This window comes from Homo sapiens, chromosome 4 (assembly GCF_000001405.40).
Source record: "Homo sapiens chromosome 4, GRCh38.p14 Primary Assembly".
Taxonomy (NCBI): Eukaryota; Metazoa; Chordata; class Mammalia; order Primates; family Hominidae; genus Homo; species Homo sapiens.
In genome coordinates this window covers 46775044-46790816 of record NC_000004.12, presented here as the reverse complement: position 1 = coordinate 46790816, position 15773 = coordinate 46775044, and the positions used below count along the sequence as shown (strand labels likewise).

The 15773-nt window shown below is 37.3% G+C and overlaps 1 protein-coding gene across 11 annotated transcripts in view; it reads left to right on the top strand.

Annotated features, from left to right (window-relative positions):
• Positions 1–15773, top strand: part of COX7B2 (cytochrome c oxidase subunit 7B2) — a 174419-nt gene that overhangs the window by 118429 nt on the left and 40217 nt on the right. The window contains exon 1 of one of the 11 annotated variants that reach the window (XM_005248056.5): positions 12668–12729. The exons of the other annotated variants lie outside the window; for them this stretch is intronic. The gene's annotated coding sequence lies outside the window, so the exon portion shown is untranslated. Of the gene's footprint in view, positions 1–12667; positions 12730–15773 lie in introns of those variants that run through there. 11 annotated transcript variants of the gene reach the window in all.

Sequence of the window (15773 nt, the reverse complement as noted above, 5' to 3'; positions counted from 1 at the left end):
AATTAGGAGGTTAATAGTTCCAAAATGATGGTTGGCCATGTGAATCGGGTTTATCCAGTAGTATTTTACCTCATCAGACTCCAGTGAGACTGTTAGTATACTGCCTTCTTTGACCAGATTTGCCGCAGGAATACTAAAGTCCAGGTGGATATGGGGACCCAGAACAGATACAGGCTAAAAATAATTAGAATTAATTGGAAGGTGAAATACTAAAAGTAAAAAATACAGTTTGGGATGACTCTAATTGTCTTTATCTTAGGTGAAAGAGTACTAAATTGGGATAGTGGCAGTGACAATGGAAAAGGAGCAACAATAAGATAAGCCCAGCAATAATAAGTAATAAATTACCTGTATAAATATATTTGAGTTTTGAAAATGAAGTGACCAGACTTATTGCTCAAAAACATATAATTCAAAATGAAGCACTGATGTATGTATGAGTGAATAAAAGATTCAGGAGTCTGGGTCTTCAGGAGCTATTTACCTGCCTCTTTCTTCTCAAATGAAATGAAACCAAATACATTTAGCATACAAACTGTTAATCATCTGCAGAACCAACCTTAGGTTAGAATTTAATAAATATTTGTGGAGTAAGTTAACAGAATCACAAGGAATACACCTAAGACAGATAAATTGCTCGTTCTGTTCCTGCTTCAGATTTTTCTGTTTCTTGAGTCTAAGCAGACATCATGGTATAAAGATATGCTTAGATAGCAGATAGAAAATTATAGAGTAGTACCTTTTCACATAAAGTATATTTGATTTCAAGATGTGTGGATGTCTAAAACCAAGTTTTTGCTGTTTTTTTTTTTAACAAACCTACACAATTTTTTGACAGAAAAAAATTATTTCCTTCAGTTACTAAGTCACAATTCCAGAGAGAGTCTCACTTTTATTATGTTTTTAAAATCCTAAGAAGTGTCACCTACATTGGAAATATTTGCTAAACCTGAACTTTCAAAATGCTAGTAGGATACACTTTAATTGAATCTATAAAAGTAATTCCCCAAAGAGTATACCTTTGACTAGTTTACAGAAACCAATTCAGGATTTACAGAGGAAAATAAATAAATAAACTGAAAAAACGACTAGTCTTCCTTTGTTCAGCTTAATGTTTAAAATTTGAAAGACTTAGGAATTAAGTTTTAGTGATTCATGTGGATGGCAATTCGCTTTTTTTGTTTTTCACTTGGAACAGTTGAAGTGTATATCTCTATTCCATTTTATATGGTTCACTCCAATGGTCCAGTACATTGTTAATGTCATGAACAGTAATATGCCAACTAGAAGTTCTTGGATTTCCACGGTAATCGTGAGCAGTGGTAGATCAATGAAATTAACAGACAACTCAAAAATATATTTTTATTAAATAAACAGTGTTAATATTCCTAGACAAGATTTAAAAATTTTTTTGAGATTATTTTTGTGATGGTTGTTTTTGACCAGAACTAACATAACAAGTTGGAGAAGCATAATATTGGTCTTCTATATTCTATGATTCCATAGACTTGTTTTACTTGTTTTGAACTTTCCTATACTTGAGTCTTATCTGATAACAATTCAGGTAGACAATTAAATAGTCAAAGGAGAAGCAACTGGAGAACACGAGTAAAATAGCCTTGATAATCTATACACTAGCTAATCAACTTCCTAATCTTTGAATGTTGATTGGATTCATAGACTGTGAAATGGAGTTCTGTAAAGTTTTCGTAACTAAACCTCAACTTAATTTTGCTCTTCTGTAAAAAAATTGCCCATGTTTGTGAAGTTCAGAAACAAAATACTAAGTTTAAATACACCAGGGTTGACTTAGGTCCCAAAGCAGAAAATGGAACAAGCAGATATTTTAGGAAACAGGCCGAGTGAGCATGGTGCTTATTAGAACTGGTTATCCGCACACCTAAATCTCTCTACCACCCTGAGGATAAATAATTTTGTTCTATGAATCATTTCATTCACTGACTTAGATCAATATAAGTTTATGGGTTCCATCAAAAGATAGATGAAATCATGTTTTCCAAGCACTTCTCTGTTTGTTTTTTTCCTATAGCATTTCATTAATCTGGAACAATGTGAGTTTACTATTAGTTTTGCTTTGATCATTATCCTCATTTTGTGTCTTCTAAAAATAAGTTATATATACAAATACATAAATTGATTTCTATATGTGGAGATATACATCTGTAAATATGTATGTAGATAAAAATATTTTATCAATTGTAGTGAAACCAAGGATTCTAAACATTACCATTTGGGTCAAAGCATGTTGGCTAGGAATTCTTTTTACATTTATAACTTCTTATTTTAAATTTCTGACTCCTTACAAACAGCCATTTTACTTGAAATAGATTTTTTTAACTGAGAAATGACCCCTAGCTGTTAAAAAATATCATATGTTTAACAAGATAAGGCTTTTCAAGAACACATTGTCATCAAAACTCACTAAAACTTTTCCTTGGATAATCTTAGTTATGTATGATTTTTTATTGTCTATCAGAGAAATAACATTGTTTTTTTCAGTTCAGATTTTAAGGTGTTTTGCCATATTGAGTATTGTTTGGTTCTATTTATCTTTGATTTAAATATAATGGGACTGAATATAAATGACCAATCATATTAAATGTGATATACCATGCAATATGGAGCTTCTTTCTTATCTCATACTTTGTTTTACTCTACTACTACTCTACTACGTTTTCCTTTACTTTTTTTCTCTTGTTTTGCTTTTGTTATTTTCTCAATCTGTAAACAAGTCTGTGTGCCCAGCTGAGTTTGTTGAAAGCCTTCGTCCCTGAAGTCCTAAACTACATACAAGAAAGCTATAGAGGAAGGAGTTGGGGATCAGAGGCCATACATGTTAAGACTGCAAGCTATCCTAGATAAATTGAGTAAGTGAGAAGACATAATTCATATGGTGAGATGACATGGGTGGTCAACAATTAGATAAATAAAAGCCTCTAAAACTCGGGTTGACTAAAATCCCAGGAAAGGAAAAAGGCAGAACACACAAAGTAAGTAGAGCCAAGGCAAGCTGTGAACCATTACAGAATTCATCTCCAGCCTCCCTAGGCAGCTCAATAAGTCTTGCTGAGCAGGTGCCTAGGTCTTTGTGTATCAAGGCTCTGCTAGACACTGTTTCCTTAGCCCTTGCATCTCAAATGTTATCTCTTCAATAGAGTCTCTTCAGTATCCCCAAAGCTACAGTTAATATGTTCCTCAATACTTTATCAGTTCCCATTTTATTTTTTCTTTCTAATGTTATTTAGTCAACATTGAGCACCTACAGTGTGCCAGCCGTTCTGGTGAAAGTACCAAATGAGGTATGAAAGAGCTGTCACATGTATCTTTTTTTTTTATTTTTTTTTATTTGAGACAGAGTCTCACTCTTGTTGTCCAGGCTGGAGTGCAATGGCACGATCTCGGCTCATTGCAACTTCTGCCTCCCGGGTTCAAGCGTTTCTCCTGCCTCAGCCTCCCAAGTAGCTGGGATTACAGGTATGCACCACCACGCCTGGCTAACTTTGTATTTTTAGTAGAGACGGGGTTTCTCCATATTGGTCGGGCTGGTCTCAAACTCCCGACCTTAGGTGATCTGCCCGCCTCGACTTCCCAAAGTGCTGGGATTACAGGCGTGAGCCACCGCACCTGCCTATCATATTCTTTAAATCCACTCAATTAGGCTTTAAACCGCTATTCCAAAAGGATGCTAGGAAATTCCTTATCAGTTCTTCTTACTCTTCCATTCCTTCCTAAGATCACACAAGGAGAATTTGCAGTGCTCAGAAGATGGAAGAAAGCTACTGACTGTTCTCTCTGTCATGGTTGTCAGTATCATCATCTTTTCCAAGTTCACAGCAGACCCTGGAAGTCCAGGAACTCTCTCTTTTATGCCACGTGTGGAGGGTGGGTTCTTTGCCCAGATTCAAACTTCTTAGATATACTATCCTCCTATCATACTCTCTTAGGTCTGGCTACCTCTTTAGGGACCAACTATGGTCTGTACTACTGAAGAAACCTACAGGCATCTTTTTCTCTAGCCGGGCATCCCTACCTTGCTACTTTCCTCCCTAAGATATCTGACATAATCTCGTCAGTGATTTTAGGCTTTTTATAAAAGGCAGGCTTCTTCAGGCTACTTTCACATCCTACCAGGCTGTAAACCCTAAGGTGAAGAATTGCAAAGCTAGATTATCTCAGTAAAATGAGAAAAGAAAAAATATATGTGAACCTCTCAAAAATGTATTTGTCAGTCTAAAATGGAAGATAGATATTGTACAAGTGACTATTATACATGAGAAAAATAATTGTAATGCACCCAGAGAATTTATTCCTAGAAGCAAAATAAGTAAGCATGCCAATATTTAGCTACATTTGTGCCCATCATGGCATTACTTACTTACTAAAGCCAAAAACAAAAACAACAACAACAGCAAAAACCAGGAATCAACATTAGTGTTCAACAATGGAAGAGTGGTCAGATAAAGTATGTTTCACATGTACAAGTCTGTACTACATAGGTACATGAGTATCATCAGAATTTTGATATTAACATGAGAAGATGTTCATAATATATTTTAGGTGCAAAAGTAAATTATAAAGAGCAGGAATGGCAAGATACTTTCCAATATTTTACCAGTGGTTATGACTAAGTAGCTTGGTTGGTGGGAATTCAGGAGTTTTCAGTTTTACTGTTTTTGTTCACTTGCATGTTTTCATTTTTTTTTTAATCAAAGAATGTGTATTTTCTTTTAACCATGAAAATAAAAGCAAAAAGAACTATTTTGAATTTCAAAAAAAGAACTAGCAGCTTCTATCTATTGCATTTAACTGTATCAGTCACTTTGAATAAGCATTTTTCATGCATTATTTATATTCTTCTTACCAATCCTGAGAATAGGTATAGAAAGATGGATTTTTTTTCTGTTTATTTCCCCTTTTTTTCCCCATAAGAGAGAGTATTGGATTGGTGGATGGAGAGGCCATGTTTCCTCCTAGGCAGGGTTGCTGTATAGTAACAGATTGCTCACCCATGGGTTGCTCCCCTTCTCTATTCATGTGGTTAGGTGAAGATCTCCTGTCCCCTGTCCACCCAGGCTTTCTTTTATCCTTGTCCTTTTATTAATATCTTAACATGCTTGTCATTGCTTTTAATTTGGGTAGAATAAGGCAATGAAGTGAGCATAAAAAGGCTTTACACGTATGAATGATATGAAGAAATCTAATCTTTTAAAAGATGTATGTTGAGTGATTTCCACACAAACATCAAATTGCTGTATCATAGCCGGGTGTGGTGGCGGGTGCCTGTAGTCCCAGCTACTCGGGAGGCTGAGGCAGGAGAATGGCGTAACCCAGGAGGTGGAGCTTGCAGTGAGCTGAGATTGTGCCACTGCACTCCAGTCTGGGTGACAGAGCAAGACTCCGTCTCAAAAAAAAAAAAAAAATTGCTCTATCAGATTTTGTGGAATTCTTTCACATCCATTTTTTCAACAACAATAGAGTTTTTTTTAATGAAAGCAGTATTGTATTAGTTTTAAATATTTGGTAGTTGTTTCTACATCATTGATGGCATACCTTTCTTCAACAGGTTCTCATCTGCTCAATATTCATGTGAGAGTAGTTCTACTGATTTGTCAGTACACGAGACAATAGCTGCACAAGCAATGAGACATAAAGTGCTAACATCTGTGCCTTATCTGAGAATTTTTAATGCTATTTAAATATATTTTTAAAACTCTTTGGAGTAATGAAATAGATTCTAAAAATTTGTTTTCATATCTTTATATATTTTCTTTGTAATTTCATGCCAGATTTGTGCATGTGCCTTAAACTTATTATGATTTAATTATTTCCCTTAGTAAACACTTTTAGCTAAAAGAAATTTTGAAAAGAAAAATAATTTGTTGTGAAGTGAAATATGATAACCTATCAGGATCAAGGAGCTAATATGTGATGATATTTAGTATTTTACAAATACAAAACTGTGTAAGCAGTACTTCTGGATGGCATTAAATATAAAGCTAAGCAATCAACACTTATTCATAAGACAACAATTAAGTCATGAGTATTAGGACATGTCTTTGCAAAAGTGATCCTTCTGTGGATCTTGGGGTTGAGAATTTTACTTCAGGTGGTTATCAGTAATATAGAAATAGATCATTTACTTGATTAAAGCTTCTTTTCTAAGTCTTTTTTTTGAGACAGTCTTGCCCTGTCGCCCAGACTAGAGTGCAATGGTGCTATCTTGGCTCACTGCAACCTCCGCCTCCCGGGTTCAAACAATTCTCCTGCCTCAGCCTCCTGAGTAGCTGGAATTACAGGCATGCGCCACCATGTCTAGCTAATTTTTGTATTTTTAATAGAGACGGAATTTCACCATGTTGGCCAGGCTGGTCTCGAACTCCTGACCTCATGATCTGTCTGCCTCGGCCTCTCAAAGTGCTGGGATTACAGGCATAAGCCACCGCACCCGGCCCTTTTCTAAGTCTTTTTAATCTTTAATGTCTAAGGCTAAATTATATATTAAATTAGTATTACTTTTTATTAAATTTGTATATTATTTTACAAAATAGTATTTTTTGTAATGCACAGCCTGATTTTGTCTACTCATTGTATGTTTTTCTGATACAAATACCCTCTCCTTTTTAATTTTGCCCCTCTCTTATTCCATGAGGTTCTGATGAGACTGCTATTCACAAAAGGAACTGGGTTATATAGCAGAGTTGTGACGTAACTGATGTCTGGCTATGATTTGGAAGTACATGTAACCTAAAACAAGTGAGTTAGAGCTTTTGATGAGATATACACAGACAATGGGAAACAGAAAATAAGTTCATGATACTGTCCCAATCATGTCATCTGCCAAAAGACAGGACTCGCCTTAGTAGAAGAGGAGGAAACCATAAAGAGAAGTAAAACTGCCAAATTCAGAGTGCTGATAATCTGATTGTTTGATGTGTGATGCAGGTACCACCCCCAACTTTCCCAGTTGTGTGAGTCAGTTACTTTCTCTCTTTTCTTCTTCTTTCTTTTCTTCCTTGTTTCTTCTTTCTTCCCTTTCCTTTCCTGCCCTGCCCTTCCCTTTTTGTTTAAGCTAGTTTGACTTTTGTTCATATCATTTGCAAACAAAATGTTATTTGGCCTCAGGGAATGGGCCTAGCATGTGTGAGTTTTCCTTAGGAACAGCTGGCTTGAAAGAAAGCTTTAAGTAAACAGAAAAATAGGATGATCCCCTCTGTAGATGTAGTCATTCCCCTTCCTTAGTAAAGCCAGGGTTTATTCAGTGAGCTTATTTTCAAAATGTCAGAATAGGGCAAGTATGGAAGTGTAATACATGTATTAATAATGTGGATTTCTCACTTACCACCAGTGACCTAGCTACTAGTAATGTGACTGTCTAGTTTTCTGAAATCACTGATAGGCAAAGGACCCCTGTTATGAAATGATAGTTCTAAGAGATCAGCCAGCTACCTGGTTACAGGTCAATTACACTGGCCTTTTTCCATTTTACAAAAGTGAGCAATCTGTAGTCTCTAAAGTACTTCTTTTGGATTTGGTTGTGTTTTCCAGCCTGTAAGGTTTCTGTCAAAGCCTTTACTCATGGGTTTACTGAATGTTCTAAACAGTGTTGCAATATTCCACTCAAATCACTCTCATCTTCTAATTTACTTTACAGTGGAAAAAAAGCTGTACAAGGGACTAATACTTGTTTGTTCTTTTCATGTACCCCATTTTTAGTGGAGTTTCATTTAGAATATGTGGTTATCATTTAGCATTATCAGGTTATCACTTAGAATTATTTTATTGGTGAATAAAGAATTAAGCCAAATATAGTATTATGTCCGGAATTGGTGGGTTCTTGGTTTTGCTGACTTCAAGAATGAAGCCGCGGACCCTCACGGTGAGTGTTACAGTTCTTAAAGATGGTGTGTCCAGAGTTGGTTCCCTCAGATGTTCAGATGTGTCCGGAGTTTCTTCCTTCTGGTGGGTTCGTGGTCTCGCTGACTTCAGTAGTGAAGCTGCAGACCTTCGCGGTGAGCCTTACAGCTCTTAAAGGCAGCGCATCTTGAGTTGTTTGTTCATTCTGGTGGGTTCTTGGTCTTGCTGGCTTCAGGAGTGAAGCTGAAGACCTTCATGGTGAGTGTTACAGCTCTTAAAAGTGGCGCAGACCCAAAGAGTGAGCAGCAGCAAGATTTATTGTGAAGAGCAAAAGAACAAAGCTTCCACAGCCTGGAAGGAGACCCAAGTGGGTTGCTGCTGCTCGCTTGGGCAGCCTGCTTTTATTCTCTTATGGGACCCCCGCCCCCAACATCCTGCTGATTGGCCCATTTTACAGAGAGCTGATTGGTGCATTTACAAACCTTGAGCTAGACACAGAGTGCTGATTGGTGCATTTACAATCCTTTAGCTAGGCACAAAAGTTCTCCAAGTCCCCACTAGATTAGCTAGACACAAGCACTGATTGGTGCATTTACAAACCTTGAGCTAGACACAGAGTGCTGATTGGTGCGTTTACAATCCTTTAGCATTTACAATCCTCTGGCTAGACATAAAAGTTCTCCAAGTCCCCACCAGATTAGCTACATACAGAGTGCTGATTGGTGCATCCACAAACCCTGACCTAGACACAGAGTGCTGATTGATGCATATACAATCCTCCAGCTAGACATAAAAGTTCTCTAAGTCCCCACTCAATTCAGGAGCCCAGCTGGCTTTGCCTAGTGGATCCTGCGCAGGGGCCATGGGCAGAGCTGCCCACCAGTCCGCGCCACGTGCCCGTACTCCTCAGCCCTTGGGAGGTCAGTGCGACCAGGTGCCACAAGCAGGGGGCGGCGCCCATCAGGGAGGCTCGGGCTGCACAGGAGCCCTCCGGGCGGGATGGGGGGTGCTTGAGCATGGAGGGCTGCAGGTCCTGAGCCCTGCCACACGGGGAGGCGGCTGAGGCCCGCGTGGGCAGGTAATGCTGAGGGACCCCGCACATCCTCTGCAGCTGCTGGCTTGGGTGCTAAGCCTCTCACTGCTTGGGGCCGGCAGCACCAGCTGGTCACTCCAAGGGTGGGGCCTGCTGAGCCTGCGCCCACCCGGAACTCATGCTGGCTGGTGAGCGCCAGGCGCAGCCCAGGTTCCCACCATTCCCTCTCCTTCCACACCTCCTGGCAAGCAGAGGGAGCCAGCTCCGGCCTCAGCCAGCCCAGAGAGGGGCTCCCACAGTGCAGGGCTCCACACTGAAGGGCTCCTCAAGCGTGGCCAGAGTGGACACTGAGGCCAAGGAGGCGCTGAGAGCAAGCGAGGGCTGCTAGCACATTGTCACCTCTCAGTATGTGTAGGAAAGGATTGAAAAGAAGATTTGAAAACCAAATCTTGAGAAGGGCAGAAACCAGGGAGGCTTTGCTTATGTCTGAGGAAGGTGTATCAGATGACTCAATTCTAACTAATCTTGGTTTCTGAATGTGTGTGTTTGTGTTAACCATGACTGGAATTTATGGAGGAGAGAATCTGTTTGACTTAGTTTGGGTAGTGTGCTCACGTTTGTGATCAGAGTGGGAAGGGGTCTATTATCCGAATAGCAGTATATAAGTATATTAAATGGTATAAAGTCCAGAGCAGAACTGTAGTAGCTACATTTTTGCTTTCTCAGTGTGTTGCTTTTGTGCCCCCTCTCTCCTCTACTGCCCACCTTCTAATAGTAAGTCTACTAGCTATATGTTGGTACATATGATCAAAGCTGTTGGTAATCATATCTGCCTGCTTTTAGGGTTACTTTTCTAATGTAAAAATAACAGATACCCTATATCTGCCATATTGAAATCCATTACCAGCTGTAGACACCTCTGCAGAGATAATTATAATGAAACATATTTTCATATTTTTGATAAATGTTAATGATTTGTGAAGTGCAGTAAAGTAAGACATTGACTTATGAAAATGACTTCGTTTTGTGAAGTAATGCAGTGTTGTAATATTCATTAATTTTATGGAGATGATGAGTATGGAGCAAGGCCAAATGTTACTGATGGTATAATCTATAAACAAAGGTTTAACAGTTGTTCAAATAGATTAAAAATAGGAGCCAAAGTTAGTCTTTTTATGGAGCACAGAAGGAGGCATGCTGAAGACAAGTAAAAAAGCCATAGCAATTAGTGTTGTATTTATGTTTCAAGTATATGTAATCACATATCCAATCATTTAAGTCCTTAGGGAACCAAATGTCTGCAAGGCAGCAATCTTATACCTTTATCATTCTATCTGTCCTCTAGTTAGGGATCTGATAGCAGTGGTTTAGACTTTTTTGTTTTTTCTTTTTGAGACGTAGTCTCTCTCTGTCACCCAGGCTGGAGTGCAGTGGCACGATCTTGGCTCACTGCAAGCTCTGCCTCCTGGGTTCATGCCATTCTCCTGCCTCAGCCTCCCAAGTAGCTGGGACAATAGGCACCCATCATCACGCCCTGCTAATTTTTTGTATTTTTAGTAGAGACGGGTTTTTACCATGTTAGCCAGGATGGTCTCGATCTCCTGACCTTCTGATCCACCTGCTTCGGCCTCCCAAAGTGCTGGGGATTACAGGTGTGAGCCACCGTGCCCGGCCAGCAGGGGTTTAGACTTTGAGCAAGAGCTTTACCTTTAGTCATAGCTGAGTTTGATTACTGGATCTACCATATTCCAACCATGTAACCCTGGATTAGTCATTGAATCTAATCAAGCTTATTAAATTCTTTTTAAAAAAATACTTGTAATACACTTTATTTTTATTATATGTTTAAGTTATACAACAAAGTTTGATATGCATATCCATAGTGAGATTATTACCACAGTCACACAAATTAACATGTTGATGGTCTCACATAGTTATCTAAAATCTACTCTTAACACATTTTTACTATACCATATAATATTATTCACTATAGTGAATTATTTATTAGAATAATGTATTTCACATAATTATTAATACAACTTTGTACCATTTGACCTCCATTTTCCCATTTGCTTCCCCCCACTCCATCCCTGGCAACCACCACTCTACTTACTGCTTCCTTGTATTCAAGTTTTTTTTTTTTAATTTTTTTATTTGGTTTAGTTTGATTTTTTAGATTTCACTGTTAGAATGACAGCTATCAAAAAGACAAGAGATAGCGAGTGTTGGTGAGGGTGTGGAGAAAAGGAAGTCCTTGTGCACTGTTGGTGGGAATGTAGATTGGTGCAGCCATTGTAGAAAACAATATGGAGGTTCTGAACGAATTCAAAAATAGAACTACCATATAACCCAGCAATCTCTCTTCTGGGTCTATACCCAAAGGAAATGAAACCACCATTTTGAAAAGATATTAAATATCTGCACCTCCATGTTCATCACAGCATTATTCACAGTAGCCAAGGTATGGAAACAATCTGTTTCCATCAATGGATGACTGGATAAAATGTAGACATATATATATACACAACGGAATATTATTCAACCTTAGAAAAAGGAAATCCTCCTATTTGTGACAATATGAATGAACCTAAAGAACAGTTTGCTAAGTGAAATAAGCCAGACACAGAAAGAAAAATACTGTGTGATCTCACTTATATGTGAAAGCCTATTAGATTCTCAATGTGTGATTTGGAAATAGCATTGCCTCTTTGGGTTGCCTGAGAATTAAATGTAATAATATAAGTAAATTTTGAATCACAGTCTTCAGCATGTAATATTTAAATGAATTGTAGCTATAACATTGGTTATTCATTAAACACTTGTTGGATTGTCAGGTCAATGACTTCTGAGGACTTCTTAGTTAAAGCCACACTCTTTGTCAAAAGAATTGTATCAATGAATGTAAAAATTTTCAGTATCTAAATTGCAAGAATAACAACTAACATTTGTTTTATATTGTATTTTTAGATGCATACACTTATGAAAACTCAGTGTATTATTGAATCGGAGCACATATTTGCCACATAAAATATTATTGTTTTAAAGGAGTCCAACAATTTAATAAACTAGGCAGATGAACTATTGAATTACTACAGTGAAAATTTAGTTTCACTGATTATTCTACTCACTGAAGTAACAGATGCTAAAAATACTAGCAAATACTTTAATACTGATGGAACTAATTGATATATCAAATTATTCAGTGGATCATCAGCTGATGTGATTATACATGCAAGACATAAGCTATATTTAAAAATGTCTACTGATTCTATATGCTTCATCTCACACATTAGCATCAAATGCACATTTTTTAATTTGAATGTAACAGTGGGAAGCTGTTTAAGTAGGTCACTCATAATTGAATTTGATATACGGTGTTTATTTTTCTTGTTCTACTAGTCAGTGAACATCTTGGTTGACTGGTCATAAAAAATAATGAAACTGAAACCCTGCATGCATTTACCTAGAAATGCAGTGTTACCATAAGAAAATACCAATAACAGAGAGAGTTCAGATGATAACCTGGTTTGCTGACTACATGTTATTGTCATTGTTACTGTATATTGAAAAAGGAAAATTAATGAGTATAGGAGACACTTGTGTAATATGAACTAGGTTAACTACCTTTGGGAGAATTATCAACAGAAATTATAGTGATAGGAAAAGTTTTAGCCTTGTTCATGGATACTTCTGAGAAAGAATCTTGAAATTTTCAAAGTTCTTATCACAGAATTTGATTTTCAAATCACACATTCCACACTCTTCCCTCCCCACCTTCAGACTCATGCCAGTTAAGAAAAATGCTCTTTGTCTTTGTGAAGGTAAGGATCACTTCATTTTGAACCAATGATGGTGTCAAAATGAGCTGGTAGTGATAATAATAGATCACATTTATTAAATATTTACTATATGCCAGACACCATGTCAGTACAATTAAAAGAGAGAGAAAAAAAGATGGAAATCCATGCCTTCATGGAGCTTATATTTTCCTGGGAGAAGATAGATATATCATGTTATTTGGTCCATCTGTTTAACTTTATGAAGTAAGCACCAGTGTTATCTCCATCTATTTTTGAGGAAATTGAAGCATGAAGAAGTTTAGTATTTGCCTTATGTCACATGGCTAGTTAAGGACTGAACCAGCTGCAATGTCCAGCTATTCCATGATAACTCTGTTTTTCCTAGTCTTTTGGTTCTTATTTTGACAATCCTATGCATTTCTTAAACTGAAGCTATCTACTTGCTGCCAGCCTTCATAACTACATACCTTCCCTTCTTTCTTATAATACAGATGAACTGAGTACCTTTCTGAGGCAAGTTCCCCCATTTATACCCAAGATTCCCTTGTCCTTGTTTAGTCAAAGGACTTATCCTAACAGTTCCTCCTTTTCTTTTTCTACATTGGTGTTTCCTCTCTCTCCACTGGATAATTCTACATCAGAGGGCATACATGCTATTATTTTTCCATTATTTAACACTCACTCTCTCCTCACCACCACCGCCTTCATCTCCCTGTCTCTCTCTCTCTCTCTGGCACTCCACTTTCCCCTATAGCTACTGGCTCACTTATCTGCTCTTTGATAAAAGCAAAATTCTTCATGAGTTATCCATATTAACTGTATTCAATCACTCTTCCATTTATTTTTTAAAAGCATTTCATTCAGGCCTTTACTCCCCTTTTATCTCATGGAATTTTTTTGGTCTGGTTTCAAGGTCCAGATTCTGTTTTCAGTATTAGAAAATACATTTTAAAGACCATTGAGTATCCTTACTTTCATATATGGTAAGCCTTAATGACCATGGCATGAGCTTACTAACACACATATATATTACATTTACTCTGGATGATGCAGCAGTTTAATCTGCATCTTTAGCATATTTATATTCAGTATGCATCCAATGGAAGGGCATAAATGGTAAGAAGAAATTGAGATGTTGACAGAACCATCTTACTGCCAGCTGCGGCAAATTAGATGTTTTGCCACATAGGTAAAAAGGAGGAGGACAGCCTGTACCATTTAACTTTAAACTAGCTGGTGTATGGTGATCAAGAAAAGCCCTGAATCTCTGGGATAGAACTGTTGGAGATCCTATGTTGCTTTTGTAAGTTGTAAGTAAGGGGTGAGGTTCATGATCTTTACTAATCTCTTCCTGGGTATGTGGAGAAGCCCAAGGGTTTATCTTATTGTTCCATCTGTAGCTGCTGAAATAAAATGGCTGAAGAAAGGAGACAGAAAGCCAAGAGGGATTATTAATTACTCTTTTGTCTTTCTCCTTTGCAACCAACCAGTCACCAAACCCAGGAGAGACTGATATTTTTTGATCTTCTCCCCTTCTCTGAATTCCCATTGCCAGTACTTTACACGCTTAATCATATCCCACTGAGTTTATTACAACAGTGCGTATCTTGCTTCCCAGTCTGACACTCTTCACATGGCTCAGAGTTTTCTTTCTAATGCACACACACAGACACACAGACACACAGACACACACACACACACACACACACACACACTCTGAAACTACTCTGCAGCTTAAAAGTTTGTAGTGACCTCTTATGGCCATTAGGATATAGTCCAGATATTTTAACAGGAAATGGTTAAAAACAAAGTTCAAAAAGTTATATTTTTGCCATCATTATTATTTTGCTGTTTGGGAATACTGTATGCATATTCCTTTAAAAGGAATTTTTTTAGGGCAGACCCCCACTTTCCCCATATCTCAGGCATGGACTTTGTCTGTCTACTAGATAATCCTCCACTGCCCCATACTCATAGGAGCAATGGTATATGCATTTCAACCTGCCTGTAATTGTCTGTTGTCAGGAAGTATGTCTTATTTACTGGTTTATCTTCAGGGCACAGGAGCATTCCTAATACACAATAAATATATCTTTAGATAAATATTCTTCAGTTTAAATAAACATTCCATCTTTTCTCAAATTGCCAAGTATTGGCATCTCACATTTTTATAGAAACTTGGGAATAACGTTGGGGACTGTCTTACCAGTATTTGCATTTCTCTTCTGACATCAGGCCTCTTTGAACACCTCAGATAACAGCGATCTCACTACCTCATAAGAAAGTCTCTTTCTTTATACGATACGATAAGCTTTATTATTTATAATCCTCTTTTTGTGTTTAACCAAAATTTACTTATAAATTCCTATTCTAATTTGTAATACTTTAGCCCCATTGAACCCCATCTACTCTTCTTGTAGACATCATACGTAATGGAAGATTTTGACTCTCCGTGTATCTTGCTGCTGTAATAGGTTTTATATTGTGGAGAAAAAGACATTATTCAGACGCTTCTTTTTATAATATCCATACATAATGGAGGGGGATATTCATTGCGGTATGACCCAATTAGACAAAAGCATTTAAACAGCTTATTCATCACTAAATAGTAAAAGATTTTGCTAATGGAAGTAGTGCACAGTAATGTGTCATATACTTCAGGAAAATGTAAAAGTCTAAAAACTGAGCATTCTGTTTTCCATGATGAAAGATTTAGTCATCCTAAAATACAGTGACTTTTTGCAATTTTGTTACAACACCAAACTGAATAGAGATTATTCTTTTAACAACATATGACCGTAACACTAAAATTTGGCTCCAGAAAACCTGATACTCTGGTTTGCAAAATACTGCCTTATAATATATGCTTTTCATAACATACTGGAAGTCATATTTCTTATGTTTCATAAAGAATATAAATAACTTCTGTTTTCTTAGTCATTATCTTAAAGAATCTGACTGGCAAATGATATATACTTGTAATTTATGTTTAAGTATCAAGCAGTATCACTTACAATGTCTAGAATTGAGGTAATTATGTAGTTAAGGTCTCATATATGTGACCA